Consider the following 16,707-nt stretch of genomic DNA (forward strand, 5'->3'; position numbering starts at 1 on the left):
CAGGAACAATTAATGGATGGTAACATATGAGGAATATCTAGGAGGCACACCCTCTCTGGCATCTATGATGGGCCAAAAACCCGCATTCGCTTGGCCACAGTATGTGAAATATAATCCAGCTTAGACACAGGGTGCGGTAGCTGTCATGTTTCTCTATGTGTGCTGAGTGTCATGTCTGCACCTTACAGGGATAGCTGAGTCTTCATCCTCCTCAGCTCCTATCTGTCCAGTGCAATGAACAGCAGCTGCTCTCTTCCTCTCTGGTTCCCATGGCAGCCATGCTCTGTTGCAGAGAGAACAGGATTGCATGTTCCCTCTTAATGGGAACCTCCATTTTGCTTTCTGGGACCACTCTCTTAATGCCGCCTGTCAAAACCAGCTAGGACTCCCTGGGGTCCAATCCCTCTGTGTTTAATCTTCTGTCATCTCTGTCCCACCTGGCTCATCAGGGAGATGCAGAAGGCTGAAGAAAAGGAAGTCCCTGAGGACTCACTGGAGGAATGTGCCATCACTTATTCAAATAGCCATGGCCCTTATGACTCCAACCAGCCACATAGGAAAACCAAAATCACATTTGAGGAAGACAAAGTCGACTCAACTCTCATTGGCTCATCCTCTCATGTTGAATGGGAGGATGCTGTACACATTATTCCAGGTAGCCTCTGTTTTCCTTGTGTCTCATACCTCTCTCTAGGCTGAGAAAGATAAACTCTGAAGACAGGCTCTATAAACACAAATTCATTTGAATAAAAAACTGTGATGGGTTTCTAAACAGATATCAGGGAGTTTTTTTGTCCTTCTCAGCTAATGTCATGACTTTGTCTGCCAGTCCCCAGTATCAAGTTACTCAACCCCAGGCAAGTGTGACAATCTCATAGTCACCTGAGTGCAGGAGGTGCACAGGCAGTATCTGTCAGGCCTCCTATCTTCGATTCAGTATCTCTTGTCATCTGTGATTAAGTCATCTGTCCCTGAACAATGTCCATGGAGTTTCTATGCCTGTTTAAGGAAGCTGGCAGCCTTGCCTTTGTATTTGGAAATATTGTTCCCCAGGCTTCACTGCTCTCAGCTTTCATCTGGATCTCCTTTAAGTCAGCTTGCTTAGCTGCACAGTCACCCTGAAATCAGGACGGAAACTTTTCTTCTTTACTTTGCTGATATATTTCCATAAAGCAAGGCTGGACCCTGGTTCTCCACCCTGTCAATGCAATGGCTGATCCAATGTTTCTTTGTAGCATCGTGGATTTTTTTTTTTTTTTTTTTTTTTTTGCAATGGAGTCTTGCTCTGTCACCCAGGCTGGAGTGCAGTGGCACCATCTTGGCTTGGTGCAACCTCTGCCTCCCAGATTCAAGTGATTCTCCTGCCTCAGCCTCCTGAGTTGCTGGGACCACAGGTGCACAACATCACATCTGGCTAATTTTTGTATTTTTAGTAGAGACAGGGTTTCCCCATATTGGCCAGGGTAGTCCTGAACTCATGACCTCAAATGATTCACCTGTCTTGGCCTCCCAAATCACAGATTCTTTTTAAAGCAAGAGTTGTTAAAATTTATCTATCAGTCGTGTTTCATGTATAGATGCCTCTAAACATTTAATGTCCATGTTACCTGGTGATATAAGTCCGTATCGCAGCAACACTCTTAGAAAATTGTTTGACCAATTTTTGGAGATTTTTTTGGGGAAAAAATTTTGTTTAACTTTGACTCAGGCAGGGAATATGGCATTATGGTCTACACGTAGAGGGAGATTTTGGCCTGTGGGTCTGGAAAGCAGGGTCATCTAATTCTCACCAAAGTTAATCTAGGACACCCTAGAATATTCCTGTCAGAATCCTTATTCTTGCACTGAGAATAGTTATGTCCTTGTGCTATGACTGGACAGTGATTTGTTCATATGTGAAGTATGAATTGCTTAATGTGACCTGCTTCTCTGAATTTATTTACAGAAAATGAAAGTGATGATGAGGAAGAGGAAGAAAAAGGGCCAGTGTCTCCCAGGTAATGTTGTGGAATTGTTGGCTGTTAATTCAGTAGTGACATCTGGAGATTGTAGATTTAGGGAAAATGAGGAAGTGATGAATAGAACTATTTCTTCCATTCACCCAGCTACAAATTGTGCTGATTTACAATGTTGTATGTTATTTGTGGCACTTGTATTGGTTTTAATTTCATAGTCCTCTCAAGATAGGAACTTGCCATCAGATGAGCCAGGTGAACTAGCCAAACAGGGTTTTCTTGTTGATCTTTTCAAAAAACCAGCCCTGGATTCATTGATTTTTTGAAGGGTTTTTTGTGTCTCTATCTCCTTGAGTTCTGCTCTGATCTTAGTTACTTCTTGTCTTCTGCTAGCTTTTGAATTTGTTTGCTTTGCTTCTCTAGTTATTTTAATTGTGATGTTAGGGTGTCCATTTTAGATCTTTTCTGCTTTCTCTTGTGGGCATTTAGTGCTATAATTTTCCCTCTACACATTGCTTTAAATGTGTCCCAGAGATTCTGGTATGTTGTGTCTTTGTTCTCATTGGTTTCAAAGAACATCTTTATTTCTGCCTTCATTTTGTTATTTTCCCAGTAGTCATTCAGGAGCAGGTTGTTCAGTTTCCATGTAGTTGTGTGGTTTTGAGTGAGTTTCTTAATCCTGAGTTCTAATTTGATTGCACTGTGGTCTGACAGTTTGTTGTGATTTCCATTCTTTTACATTTGCTGACGAGTGCTTTACCTCCAACTATGTGGTCAATTTTGGAATAAGTGTGATGTGGTGCTGAGAAGAATGTATATTCTGTTGATTTGGGGTGGAGAGTTCTGTAGATGTCTTTTAGGTCGGCTTGGTGGAGAGCTGAGTTCAAGTCCTGGATATCCTTGTTAAGCTTCTGTCTCATTGATCTGTCTAATATTGACAGTGGGGTGTTAAAGTCTCCCATGATGATTGTGTGGAGTCTAAATCTCTTTGTAGGTCTCTCAGGACTTGCTTTATGAATCTGGGTGCTCCTGTATAGGGTGCATATATATTTAGGATAGTTAACTCTTCTTGTTGAATTGATCCCTTTACCATTATGTAGTGGCCTTCTTTGTCTCTTTTGATCTTTGTTGGTTTAAAGTCTGTTTTATCAGAGACTAGGATTGCAACACCTGCCTTTTTTTGTTTTCCATTTGCTTGGTAGATCTTCCTCCATCCCTTTATTTTGAGCCTATGTGTGTCTCTGCATGTGAGATGGGTTTCCTGAGTACAGCACACTGATGGGTCTTGACTCTTTATCCAATTTGCCATTCTGTGTTTTTTAACTGGGGCATTTAGCCCATTTACATTTAAGGTTAATATTGTTATGTGTGAATTTGATCCTGTCGTTATGATGTTAGCTGGTTATTTCTTCCGTTAGTTGATGCAGTTTCTTCCTAGCGTCAATGGTCTTTACAGTTTGGCATGTTTTTGCAGTGGCTGGTACCGGTTGTTCCTTTCCATGTTTAGTGCTTCCTTTAGGAGCTCTTGTAAGGCAGGCCTGGTGGTGACAAAATCTCTCAGCATTTGCTTCTCTGTAAAGGATTTATTTCTCCTTCACTTATGAAGCTTTGTTTGGCTGGATATGAAATTCTTGGTTGAAAATTCTTTTCTTTAAGAATGTTGAAGGTGCTGGAGAGGATGTGGAGAAATAGGAACACTTTTACACTGTTGGTGGGACTGTAAACTAGTTCAACGATTGTGGAAGGCAGTGTGGCAATTCCTCAGGGATCTAGAACTAGAAATACCATTTGACCCAGCCATCCCATTACTGGGTGTATACCCAAAGGATTATAAATCATGCTGCTGTAAAGACACATGCACACATATGTTTATTGCGGCACTATTCACAATAGCAAAGACTTGGAACCAAGCCAAATATCCAGCAATGATAGACTGGATTAAGAAAATGTGGCACATATACACCATGGAATACTATGCAGCTATAAAAAATGATGAGTTCATGTCCTTTGTAGGGGCATGGATGAAGCTGGAAACCATCATTCTCAGCAAACTATTGCAAGGACAAAAAACCAAATACCGCATGTTCTTACTCACAGGTGGGAATTGAACAATGAGAACACATGGACACAGAAAGGGGAACATCACACACTGGGGCCTGTTGTAGGGTGGGGGGAGGGAGGAGGGGTAGCATTAGGAGATATACCTAATGCTAAATGATGAGTTAATGGGTGAAGCACGCCAATGTGGACATGTATACATATGTAACTAACCTGCACGTTGTGCACATGTACCCTAAGACTTAAAGTATTAAAAAAAATATATATATATATACATACACACAAAAAATAATAAAGGAAAACTATACATATGGAAAAAAAAAAGAATGTTGAATATTGCTCCCACTCTCTTCTGGCTTGTAGGGTTTGTGCCAAGAGATCTGCTGCTAGTCTGATGGGTTTCCCTTTGTGGGTAATCCAACCTTTCTCTCTGGCTGCCCTTAGCATTTTTTCCTTCATTTCAACCTTGGTGAATCTGACAATTACGTGTTTTGGGGTTGCTCTTCTCGAGGAGTATCTTTATGGTGTTCTCTGTGTTTCCTGAATTTGAATGTTGGCCTTCCTTGCTAGGTTGGGGAAGTCCTCCTGGATAATATCCTGAAGAATGTTTCCCAGCTTGGTTCCATTCTCCCCGTCACTTTCAGTACACCAATCAAACGTAGATTTGGTCTTTCCACATAGTCCCATATTTATTGGAGGCTTGTTCATTTCTTTTTACTCTTTTTTCTCTAAACTTCTCTTCTCGCTTCATTTCACTAATTTGATCTTGAATCACTGATACCGTTTCTTGCACTTGATCGAATTGGCTACTGAAGCTTGTGCATGCATCACGTAGTTCTCGTGCCATGGTTTTCAGCTCCATCAGCTCATTTAAGGTCTTCTCTACACTGTTCATTCTGGTTAGCCATTCGTCTAATCTTTTTTCAAGGTTTTTAGCTTCCTTGCGATGAGTTCGCACATCCTCCTTTAGCTCAGAGAAGTTTGTTATTACCGACTTTCTGAAGCCTACTTCTGTCATCTCATCAAAGTCATTCTCCATCCTGCTTTGTTCCATTGCTGGCGAGGAGCTGCGATCCTTTGGAGGAGAAGGGATGTCAGGTTTTTGGAATTTTCAGCTTTTGTGCTCTGGTTTCTCCCCACCTTTGTGGTTTTATCTACCCTTGGTCTTTGATGATGGCGACCTACAGATGGGGTTTTGGGGTGGATGTCTTTTTTGTTGATGTTGATGCTATTCCTTTCTGTGTGTTAGTTTTCCTTCTAACAGTCAGGTCCCTCAGCTTCAGGTCTGTTGGAGTTTGCTGGAAGTCCACTCCAGACCCTCAAACAGGGATTTCTTGGTGTTGCCTATTCTCTCCCATGTGTTTAAATCCAGGGAGAGGTGTATATATGCTTTCTTCCTATTTGTTGGTAGTATGTTGGCTAGTATTTTTGCAAGAAAAGAAATTGAAAAAGTAAATATATTATATCAAAATATTGGGAAAATGGGGCCCTTAATACACAAGATCTGTGTCTGCACTGCGTCAAGAACTCTCTTCACTTGAATGCTGCATGTAAAATTCAACCCAATTTATGCAAAGTAGTTGAAGCCCTGTGTCAGTTCTCTGTGCTGCAAGTCATGATGGTAGTTTACAGGGAGAGTCCGGGTGCCCTGAGTTGGCTCATCTGTGGCAAATGTACTGAGCACATGCTGCCCATTTTTGCTCTGTCCCCAGAGCAGTCACCCTCCACCCTGTATTTAGAAGGATAGTTTTATTTCTCTTGAAGGAAAAATGCCTTTGGTTTCTGTGACCACTCCATTCTGTCTCCCATCAGATCATCTGGGAGGTTTTGTTGTCTAATGTCTGTTGGTTAAATCTTCTATCATCCCTGTCCTGCCTGGCTCATCAGGAATCTGCAGGAGTCTGAAGAGGAGGAAGTCCCCCAGGAGTCCTGGGATGAAGGTTATTCGACTCTCTCAATTCCTCCTGAAATGTTGGCCTCGTACCAGTCTTACAGCAGCACATTTCACTCATTAGAGGAACAGCAAGTCTGCATGGCTGTTGACATAGGCAGTGAGTACTCCATTGTGAAGGTGATAAAGCTCCAGTTCATGGCCCAGGTAGACCCCATAATCTTTGGGCCTTGTGCCCCTTGTTGGGCTGAGATTTGCCATCACCGTGGGCTGAACCTATATATCAATGTAGATTTCAGTCACTCTGGAGTCAAGTCTGAAGCACAGGCATGGGGTGGGTCAGTGAGCTTTACTCTCTTCCTAGTCTCAGGCCATGCCTGTGCCAACCTGGACTGACTGTCACGACATTGAACTCAAGGCAGGTGTGGCAAACTCACACCAAACTATGTAGCACATGCCCAGGAGTTGTCTGTCAGATCAGCTCATCTGAATTAAATGTCTTTTGCCAGCTACAAAATTCCTTATGAGTTTTGTTCCCAAAGCATGTCTGTGTGGTTCTTTACCTGCCCAAGGCCAGTGTCACCCTTGTCTACCTCTCAGTGAAAGATGTGACCCAGGTTTCACTGAGTTTATTCCCATTTTCTGTGTCTTCTAAGTTCGCTTGTTTTAGCTCATCTGTCCGTCATGTTCCTGGTATGTTTTCTAGATAAATGGCTGACTTTTCACCCACAAAAGCCATAATAGCTGATGCTTCTGTGTAGAACCAAGTTTCATTTTGACTCAAGAGCTGGTACATTGCACCCCTTCATCAAATCTCTGTGTCCACAATCTCATAAACTATCAAATTCTGGGTATTTGATGAGAGAAAGCTTAATATTGAAGTATCTCTCCTATGAGGTGTTAGAACTATTTGCCTACAATTTATTGGGGAAAAATTGCTCATTTGTGTACATAAACCTAGGACAGAGCACATAGGGAAGATAACATTCCAACACAGGGGAATTTTGCCCAAGGCTCATGAAAGAACCCAAGCCAGTTTTCTCAAGACTTGACCTCAGGCCTACTGCAATATTTCTCTCAAAGTCTCCTGTTCTCACACTGACAAGACTGATGTCCCTGTGTTAGGATTGGACAGAGGAATGTTTCTGTGTGCAAGGAAGAACTTAATGTAAGAGGGCCCATCTGAATTTATTTGCAGGACATCGCTGGGATCAAGTGAAAAAGGAGGACCAAGAGGCAACAGGTCCCAGGTGAGTCTGAGAAATTGTGGACAGTTAATTTGATGTTGACACCTGGAGATGCCAAGTCCAGGGAAAACAGTACATGCTGAAAATAATGATTTTGTCTTGTCAGACAAGTCTGAATTATGCCTAATACATTGCTTTTTTGTTCTCATTAGAGTAAATGTTTAGGTTTCCATTTCTTCCTACCCTTATCATTTACTAACCTAGTGAAAGTTGACCATACCTCAAAAGCTGTATTCTCATGGTAACTGCAGGGAAACTTGAGCACATTTTATGCAAAATTATTGAGGACATGCTTTTCATGATCACTGTTCACTGTGTGTCCTGAGAGCACAAATACAGAGTGTCCTTTGACTCCCTCATCAGTGTGTCACCTGACCAATTGACTGAGCTCGCTCTGTGTGTGTGTGTGTGTGTGTGTGTGTGTGTGTGTGTGTGTGTGTGTGTCTTTCTCGTTCATCCTTTTCTACCTGGCCCTAGTCTATCCCAACATAAAGGCAATAATTTGTTACCTCACTAATGGATCTCTCCTTTTTCTTTTCAAACTCTTCCTTATGTTAGCCATGAAATCTAGCTGGGGCTGTGTGGTTTCTGATTCCCCCTGGCTTATTCTTTACTTTTTCCCACTTTTCCAGGCTCAGCAGGGAGCTGCTGGATGAGAAAGGGCCTGAAGTCTTGCAGGACTCACTGGATAGATGTTATTCAACTCCTTCAGGTTGTCTTGAACTGACTGACTCATGCCAGCCCTACAGAAGTGCCTTTTACGTATTGGAGCAACAGCGTGTTGGCTTGGCTATTGACATGGATGGTGAGTACCTTTCTATGAAGGTGATAAGGATCCACTGAGTCTTCTGGTTAGGGTCATATTCCTACTGCAAGTGGCCCTTACTGAGCTGAGAGATGTCATTGCCACAGGGAGGACCTATAGGCACATGTAGGTTGAATGAAACTCTAGTTCCACTTGGCAGCCCAGACAAGGGATGGTTCAGTGAGCAAGGCTCTCTTCCTAGTCTCAGGCCATACCTGTGGCGCCCTAATCCTACTCTCATGACGTTGGACCTGGGCAGATGTGACAAATTCACACAACTCTGATTTTGTCTCAATTTTGTAGATCTTGTAGATTTCATCCTTCACTCTAATTTCAGCGTCTAAAATCCTCGCTACCATGAACAATCTGAGTATTTGATGAGACAGGGCTGAATAGTGCAGTTTTTCTCCTAGCAACCATTTGGGGGTATTTGCTTTAAATCGATTGGAAAAATATGGCATAACCATTTGCACAAACTTGGGACAAATGATATTGGGATAACGATCTACCAGAATAGGGAATTTTACCCACAGTTTCTGGGACAAAAACCAAGGAATCTCTATGGTGATCAGCCTTCAGGCCTCCTGAAGAATATCTCTCACAGTGTCCTATTCTCATGCTGAGGAGCCTGAAGTCTCTGTGTGAGGATTAGACAGTGGATTGTTATGTGTGTAGGAGAACCAGCTTCATATGTCTGTCCATGTCTGAACTTATTGCAGAAATTGAAAAGTACCAAGAAGTGGAAGAAGACCAAGACCCATCATGCCCCAGGTAACTTTGAGCAATTATGGATGCTTAATTCTGTGTTGACACCTGGAGATGCCAGGTCCAGGGAAAACAAGAGTGTGTTCAATTTCATGTTTTCAACGAAGGTTGAATTACTCCTACTGACATGGCTGTTGGTTTTCATTGCAGTAGATGTTTAGGTTTCCATTTCTTCCTCCCCTTATCATTTACTAACTTACTATAGGTTGACCATACCTCAAAGGCTGTATGGCAACTGCATGGAATCTTGAGCAAGTTTATGGAAAATTATTGAGCCCACTCTTTTCATGATCACTGTTCGCTGTGTGTCCCGAGGGCACTAACTCAGAGTGTCCTTTGACCCCTTCATCAGTGTGTCACCCGGCCAACTCGCTGAGCTCACTTTCTCCTCTCTCTCTCTCTCTCTCTCTCCCTCTCCCTGTCTTTCTCTTTCATTCTTCTCTACCTGGCCCTGGTCTATCCCAACATAAAGGCAATAATTCATTACCTCATTAATGGATCTGTCCTTTTTCTTTTTAAACAGTTCCTTATGTTAGCCATGAAATCTAGCTGGGGCTGTGTGGTTTCTGATTCCCCCTGGCTTATTCTTTACTTTTTCCTACTTTTCCAGGCTCAGCAGGGAGCTGCTGGATGAGAAAGAGCCTGAAGTCTTGCAGGACTCACTGGATAGATGTTATTCGATTCCTTCAGGTTATCTTGAACTGCCTGACTTAGGCCAGCCCTACAGCAGTGCTGTTTACTCATTGGAGGAACAGTACCTTGGCTTGGCTCTTGACGTGGACAGTGAGTACCTTACTATGAAGGTGATAAGCCTCCACCTGGTCTTCCAGATAGGGGTGATATTCCTGTTCCAAGTGGCCCTTACTGACCCGAGAGATGTCATTGCCGCAGGCAGGACCTATGGGCGCATATAGGTTGTAATGAAACTGTAGTCTCAGTTGGAAGCCTAGACATGAAATGGGTCAGTGAGCAAGGCTCTATTCCTAGTCTCCAGCCATGCCTGTGGCAACCTGAGCCCGCTCTCAGCACATTGGACCCAGGCAGATGCAAAAAATTCACAGAACTATGATTTGGACTCAAGGGTTTGTAGATTTCCTCCTTCATTCTAATTTCAGTGTCTAAAATTCTTGCATCCATGAACGAGCTGGGCATTTGATGAGACAGGGCTGAATACTGCAGTTTTCCTCCTAGAAATCATCTGGGGCATTTTCTTTGAACTGATGGGAACAATAAGGCATAACTGTTTGCACAAACTTGGGATAAGTGATTTTGGGATAACGATCTACCAGAATGGGGATATTTCACCCTTGGTTCTGAGATGCAAACCAAAGAATATCATGACCAGCTTTCAGGCCTCCTGAAGTATATCTCTCACATTGTCCTGTTCTCATGCTGAGGAGCCTGAGATCCCTGTGTGGGGATTAGACAGTGGACTGTTATGGGTGTAGGTGAATTGGCTTATTTTGTCTGTCCCTGTCTGAATGTATTGCAGGAATTAAAAAGGACCAAGAAGAGGAAGAAGACCAAGACCCACCATGCCCCAGGTAACTGAGCAATTGTGAACAGCTACTTCTGTGTTGACATCTGGAGACTCCTGGTTCAGGGAAAACAGAGCGGGCTGACATTATCGATTACATCTTTTCAAGCAAGCCTGAATTATTCCTACTAACATTGCTGTTGGTTTTCATTGCAGTAGATATTTAGGTTTCCATTTCTTCCTCCCCTTATCATTTACTAACCTACTGTAGGTGGACCAGACTTCAAAAACTGTATTCTCATGGCGACTGCATGGAAACTTGAGCACATTTTATGGAAAATTATTGAGCACAGTCTTTTCATGATCACTGTATGCTGTGTGTCCTGAGGGCACTAACTCAGAGTGTCCTGTTACTCCCTCATCAGTGTGTCACCTGGACAATTCACTGAGCTCGTTCTCTCTCTCTCTCTCTGTGTGTGTGTGTGTGTGTGTGCGTGTGTGTGTGTGTGTGTGTGTGTCCATCTGTCTCTTTCATTCTTTTCCATTTGGCCCTGTTCTGTCCCAACATGAAGGCAATAATTTGTTACCTCATTAATGGATCTATCCTTTTACTTTCTTAACCACTTCCCTATGCTACCCATGAAACCTAGTTGGGGCTCTGTTGTGTGTGATTTCCCCTGGCTTATTCTTTACTTTTTCCTCCTTTTCCAGGCTCAGCAGGGAGCTGGTGGAGGTAGTAGAGCCTGAAGTCTTGCAGGACTCACTGGATAGATGTTATTCAACTCCTTCCAGTTGTCTTGAACAGCCTGACTCCTGCCAGCCCTATGGAAGTTCCTTTTATGCATTGGAGGAAAAACATGTTGGCTTTTCTCTTGACGTGGGAGGTGAGTACCTTTCTATGAAGGTGATAAGCATCCACTGAGTCTTCCATATAAAGATCATATTCCTGCTCCAAGTGGCCATTACTGAGCTGAGAGATGTCGTTGCCGCAGTGAGGACCTATAGGCACATGTAGGTTGAATGAAACTCTAGTTCTACCTGGAAGCCCAGACAAGGGATGGGTCAGTGAGCAAGACTCTCTTCCTAGTCTCAGGCCATACCTGTGGCGCCCTGATCCTATTCTCATGACATTGGACCTGGGCAGATGTGACAAATTCAGAGAACTATGATTTTGACTCAAGGGTTTGTAGATTTCCTTTTTCACTCTAATTTCAGTGTCTAAAGTCCTCACAACCATGAACAATCTGAGTATTTGATGAGACAGGGCTAAATATTGCAGTTTTTCTCCTAGAAATCATTTGAGGGTATTTGCTTTAAATTGATTGGAAAAATATGGCATAACTGTTTGCACAAACTTGGGACAAATGATATTGGGATAACGATCTACTAGAATAGGGACATTTTACCCACAGTTTCTGGGAGAAAAACCGAGGAATTTCTATCATGACCAGCCTTCAGGCCTCCTGAAATATATCTCTCACAGTGTCCTATTCTTATGCTGAGGAGCCTGAGGTCCCTGTGTGAGGATTAGACAGTGGATTGTTATGTGTGTAGGGGAATCAGCTTAATGTGTCTGTCCATGTCTGAATTTATTGCAGAAATTGAAAAGAAGGGGAAGGGGAAGAAAAGAAGGGGAAGAAGATCAAAGAAGGAAAGAAGAAGGGGAAGAAAAGAAGGGGAAGAAGATCAAAACCCACCATGCCCCAGGTGACTTTCAGCAATTGTGGATGCTTAATTCTGTGTTAACACCTGGAGGCAACAGATTCAGGGAAACCAGAGCGTGTTTGATGTCATGTTTTCAACGAAGGCTGAATTACTCCTACTGTCATTGCTGTTGGTTTTCATTGCAGTAGATGTTTAGGTTTCCATTTCTTCCTCCCCTTATCATTTCCTAACGTACCATAGGTTGACCATACTTCAAAAGCTGTACTCTCATGGCCACTGCATCGAATTTTGAGCATATTTTATGGAAAACTATTGAGCTCACTCTTTTCATGATCACAGTTTGCTGTGTGTCATGAGGGCACTAACTCAGAGTGTCCTTTTACTCCCTTACCAGTATGTCACCTGGCCAATTCACTAGGTCACTTTCTCTCTGTCTCTGTCTCTGTCTCTCTCTCTGTCTCTGTCTCTCTCTCTCTCTCTCTCTGTCTTTCTCTTTCATTGTTTTCTACCTGGCCCTGTTCTATCCCAACATAAAGGCAGTAATTTGTTACCTCATTAATGGATCTGTCCTTTTTCTTTTCAAACTCTTCCTTAACGTTAGCCATGAAATCTAGCTGGGGCTGTGCGGTTTCTGATTCCCCCTGGCTTATTCTTTACTTTTTCCCACTTTTCCAGGCTCAGCAGGGAGCTGCTGGATGAGAAAGGGCCTGAAGTCTTGCAGGACTCACTGGATAGATGTTATTCAACTCCTTCAGGTTGTCTTGAACTGACTGACTCATGCCAGCCCTACAGAAGTGCCTTTTACATATTGGAGCAACAGTGTGTTGGCTTGGCTGTTGACATGGATGGTGAGTACCTTTCTATGAAGGTGATAAGGATCCACTGAGTCTTCTGGTTAGGGTCATATTCCTACTGCAAGTGGCCCTTACTGAGCTGAGAGATGTCATTGCCACAGGGAGGACCTATAGGCACATGTAGGTTGAATGAAACTCTAGTTCCACTTGGCAGCCCAGACAAGGGATGGGTCAGTGAGCAAGGCTCTCTTCCTAGTCTCAGGCCATGCCTGTGGCGCCCTAATCCTACTCTCATGACATTGGACCTGGGCAGATGTGACAAATTCACACAACTCTGATTTTGTCTCAATTTTGTAGATCTTGTAGATTTCATCCTTCACTCTAATTTCAGCGTCTAAAATCCTCGCTACCATGAACAATCTGAGTATTTGATGAGACAGGGCTGAATAGTGCAGTTTTTCTCCTAGCAACCATTTGGGGGTATTTGCTTTAAATCGATTGGAAAAATATGGCATAACCATTTGCACAAACTTGGGACAAATGATATTGGGATAACGATCTACCAGAATAGGGAATTTTACCCACAGTTTCTGGGACAAAAACCAAGGAATCTCTATGGTGATCAGCCTTCAGGCCTCCTGAAGAATATCTCTCACAGTGTCCTATTCTCATGCTGAGGAGCCTGAAGTCTCTGTGTGAGGATTAGACAGTGGATTGTTATGTGTGTAGGAGAACCAGCTTCATATGTCTGTCCATGTCTGAACTTATTGCAGAAATTGAAAAGTACCAAGAAGTGGAAGAAGACCAAGACCCATCATGCCCCAGGTAACTTTGAGCAATTATGGATGCTTAATTCTGTGTTGACACCTGGAGATGCCAGGTCCAGGGAAAACAAGAGTGTGTTCAATTTCATGTTTTCAACGAAGGTTGAATTACTCCTACTGACATGGCTGTTGGTTTTCATTGCAGTAGATGTTTAGGTTTCCATTTCTTCCTCCCCTTATCATTTACTAACTTACTATAGGTTGACCATACCTCAAAGGCTGTATGGCAACTGCATGGAATCTTGAGCAAGTTTATGGAAAATTATTGAGCCCACTCTTTTCATGATCACTGTTCGCTGTGTGTCCCGAGGGCACTAACTCAGAGTGTCCTTTGACCCCTTCATCAGTGTGTCACCCGGCCAACTCGCTGAGCTCACTTTCTCCTCTCTCTCTCTCTCTCTCTCTCTCCCTCTCCCTGTCTTTCTCTTTCATTCTTCTCTACCTGGCCCTGGTCTATCCCAACATAAAGGCAATAATTCATTACCTCATTAATGGATCTGTCCTTTTTCTTTTTAAACAGTTCCTTATGTTAGCCATGAAATCTAGCTGGGGCTGTGTGGTTTCTGATTCCCCCTGGCTTATTCTTTACTTTTTCCTACTTTTCCAGGCTCAGCAGGGAGCTGCTGGATGAGAAAGAGCCTGAAGTCTTGCAGGACTCACTGGATAGATGTTATTCGATTCCTTCAGGTTATCTTGAACTGCCTGACTTAGGCCAGCCCTACAGCAGTGCTGTTTACTCATTGGAGGAACAGTACCTTGGCTTGGCTCTTGACGTGGACAGTGAGTACCTTACTATGAAGGTGATAAGCCTCCACCTGGTCTTCCAGATAGGGGTGATATTCCTGTTCCAAGTGGCCCTTACTGACCCGAGAGATGTCATTGCCGCAGGCAGGACCTGTGGGCGCATATAGGTTGTAATGAAACTGTAGTCTCAGTTGGAAGCCTAGACATGAAATGGGTCAGTGAGCAAGGCTCTATTCCTAGTCTCCAGCCATGCCTGTGGCAACCTGAGCCCGCTCTCAGCACATTGGACCCAGGCAGATGCAAAAAATTCACAGAACTATGATTTGGACTCAAGGGTTTGTAGATTTCCTCCTTCATTCTAATTTCAGTGTCTAAAATTCTTGCATCCATGAACGAGCTGGGCATTTGATGAGACAGGGCTGAATACTGCAGTTTTCCTCCTAGAAATCATCTGGGGCATTTTCTTTGAACTGATGGGAACAATAAGGCATAACTGTTTGCACAAACTTGGGATAAGTGATTTTGGGATAACGATCTACCAGAATGGGGATATTTCACCCTTGGTTCTGAGATGCAAACCAAAGAATATCATGACCAGCTTTCAGGCCTCCTGAAGTATATCTCTCACATTGTCCTGTTCTCATGCTGAGGAGCCTGAGATCCCTGTGTGGGGATTAGACAGTGGACTGTTATGGGTGTAGGTGAATTGGCTTATTTTGTCTGTCCCTGTCTGAATGTATTGCAGGAATTAAAAAGGACCAAGAAGAGGAAGAAGACCAAGACCCACCATGCCCCAGGTAACTGAGCAATTGTGAACAGCTACTTCTGTGTTGACATCTGGAGACTACTGGTTCAGGGAAAACAGAGCGGGCTGACATTATCGATTACATCTTTTCAAGCAAGCCTGAATTATTCCTACTAACATTGCTGTTGGTTTTCATTGCAGTAGATATTTAGGTTTCCATTTCTTCCTCCCCTTATCATTTACTAACCTACTGTAGGTGGACCAGACTTCAAAAACTGTATTCTCATGGCGACTGCATGGAAACTTGAGCACATTTTATGGAAAATTATTGAGCACAGTCTTTTCATGATCACTGTATGCTGTGTGTCCTGAGGGCACTAACTCAGAGTGTCCTGTTACTCCCTCATCAGTGTGTCACCTGGACAATTCACTGAGCTCGTTCTCTCTCTCTCTCTCTGTGTGTGTGTGTGTGTGTGTGTGCGTGTGTGTGTGTGTGTGTGTGTGTCCATCTGTCTTTCTCTTTCATTCTTTTCCATTTGGCCCTGTTCTGTCCCAACATGAAGGCAATAATTTGTTACCTCATTAATGGATCTATCCTTTTACTTTCTTAACCACTTCCCTATGCTACCCATGAAACCTAGTTGGGGCTCTGTTGTGTGTGATTTCCCCTGGCTTATTCTTTACTTTTTCCTCCTTTTCCAGGCTCAGCAGGGAGCTGGTGGAGGTAGTAGAGCCTGAAGTCTTGCAGGACTCACTGGATAGATGTTATTCAACTCCTTCCAGTTGTCTTGAACAGCCTGACTCCTGCCAGCCCTATGGAAGTTCCTTTTATGCATTGGAGGAAAAACATGTTGGCTTTTCTCTTGACGTGGGAGGTGAGTACCTTTCTATGAAGGTGATAAGCATCCACTGAGTCTTCCATATAAAGATCATATTCCTGCTCCAAGTGGCCATTACTGAGCTGAGAGATGTCGTTGCCGCAGTGAGGACCTATAGGCACATGTAGGTTGAATGAAACTCTAGTTCTACCTGGAAGCCCAGACAAGGGATGGGTCAGTGAGCAAGACTCTCTTCCTAGTCTCAGGCCATACCTGTGGCGCCCTGATCCTATTCTCATGACATTGGACCTGGGCAGATGTGACAAATTCAGAGAACTATGATTTTGACTCAAGGGTTTGTAGATTTCCTTTTTCACTCTAATTTCAGTGTCTAAAGTCCTCACAACCATGAACAATCTGAGTATTTGATGAGACAGGGCTAAATATTGCAGTTTTTCTCCTAGAAATCATTTGAGGGTATTTGCTTTAAATTGATTGGAAAAATATGGCATAACTGTTTGCACAAACTTGGGACAAATGATATTGGGATAACGATCTACTAGAATAGGGACATTTTACCCACAGTTTCTGGGAGAAAAACCGAGGAATTTCTATCATGACCAGCCTTCAGGCCTCCTGAAATATATCTCTCACAGTGTCCTATTCTTATGCTGAGGAGCCTGAGGTCCCTGTGTGAGGATTAGACAGTGGATTGTTATGTGTGTAGGGGAATCAGCTTAATGTGTCTGTCCATGTCTGAATTTATTGCAGAAATTGAAAAGAAGGGGAAGGGGAAGAAAAGAAGGGGAAGAAGATCAAAGAAGGAAAGAAGAAGGGGAAGAAAAGAAGGGGAAGAAGATCAAAACCCACCATGCCCCAGGTGACTTTCAGCAATTGTGGATGCTTAATTCTGTGTTAA

General features: G+C 43.2%; 1 protein-coding gene across 1 annotated transcript in view; it reads left to right on the plus strand.

Annotated features, from left to right (window-relative positions):
* Positions 1 to 16,707, plus strand: part of NBPF19 (NBPF member 19) — an 81,317-nt gene that overhangs the window by 5,185 nt on the left and 59,425 nt on the right. Inside the window, exons 6-21 of the mRNA NM_001351365.2 lie at positions 450 to 655; positions 1,946 to 1,997; positions 5,901 to 6,064; positions 7,103 to 7,154; positions 7,784 to 7,956; positions 8,676 to 8,727; positions 9,332 to 9,504; positions 10,214 to 10,265; positions 10,910 to 11,082; positions 11,797 to 11,905; positions 12,539 to 12,711; positions 13,431 to 13,482; positions 14,089 to 14,261; positions 14,971 to 15,022; positions 15,673 to 15,845; positions 16,560 to 16,668. Coding sequence (NP_001338294.1) covers positions 450 to 655; positions 1,946 to 1,997; positions 5,901 to 6,064; positions 7,103 to 7,154; positions 7,784 to 7,956; positions 8,676 to 8,727; positions 9,332 to 9,504; positions 10,214 to 10,265; positions 10,910 to 11,082; positions 11,797 to 11,905; positions 12,539 to 12,711; positions 13,431 to 13,482; positions 14,089 to 14,261; positions 14,971 to 15,022; positions 15,673 to 15,845; positions 16,560 to 16,668 — 1,938 coding nt within the window. The remainder of the gene's footprint in view (positions 1 to 449; positions 656 to 1,945; positions 1,998 to 5,900; positions 6,065 to 7,102; positions 7,155 to 7,783; positions 7,957 to 8,675; positions 8,728 to 9,331; positions 9,505 to 10,213; positions 10,266 to 10,909; positions 11,083 to 11,796; positions 11,906 to 12,538; positions 12,712 to 13,430; positions 13,483 to 14,088; positions 14,262 to 14,970; positions 15,023 to 15,672; positions 15,846 to 16,559; positions 16,669 to 16,707) is intronic.

This window comes from Homo sapiens, chromosome 1 (genome assembly GCF_000001405.40).
Source record: "Homo sapiens chromosome 1, GRCh38.p14 Primary Assembly".
Taxonomy (NCBI): Eukaryota; Metazoa; Chordata; class Mammalia; order Primates; family Hominidae; genus Homo; species Homo sapiens.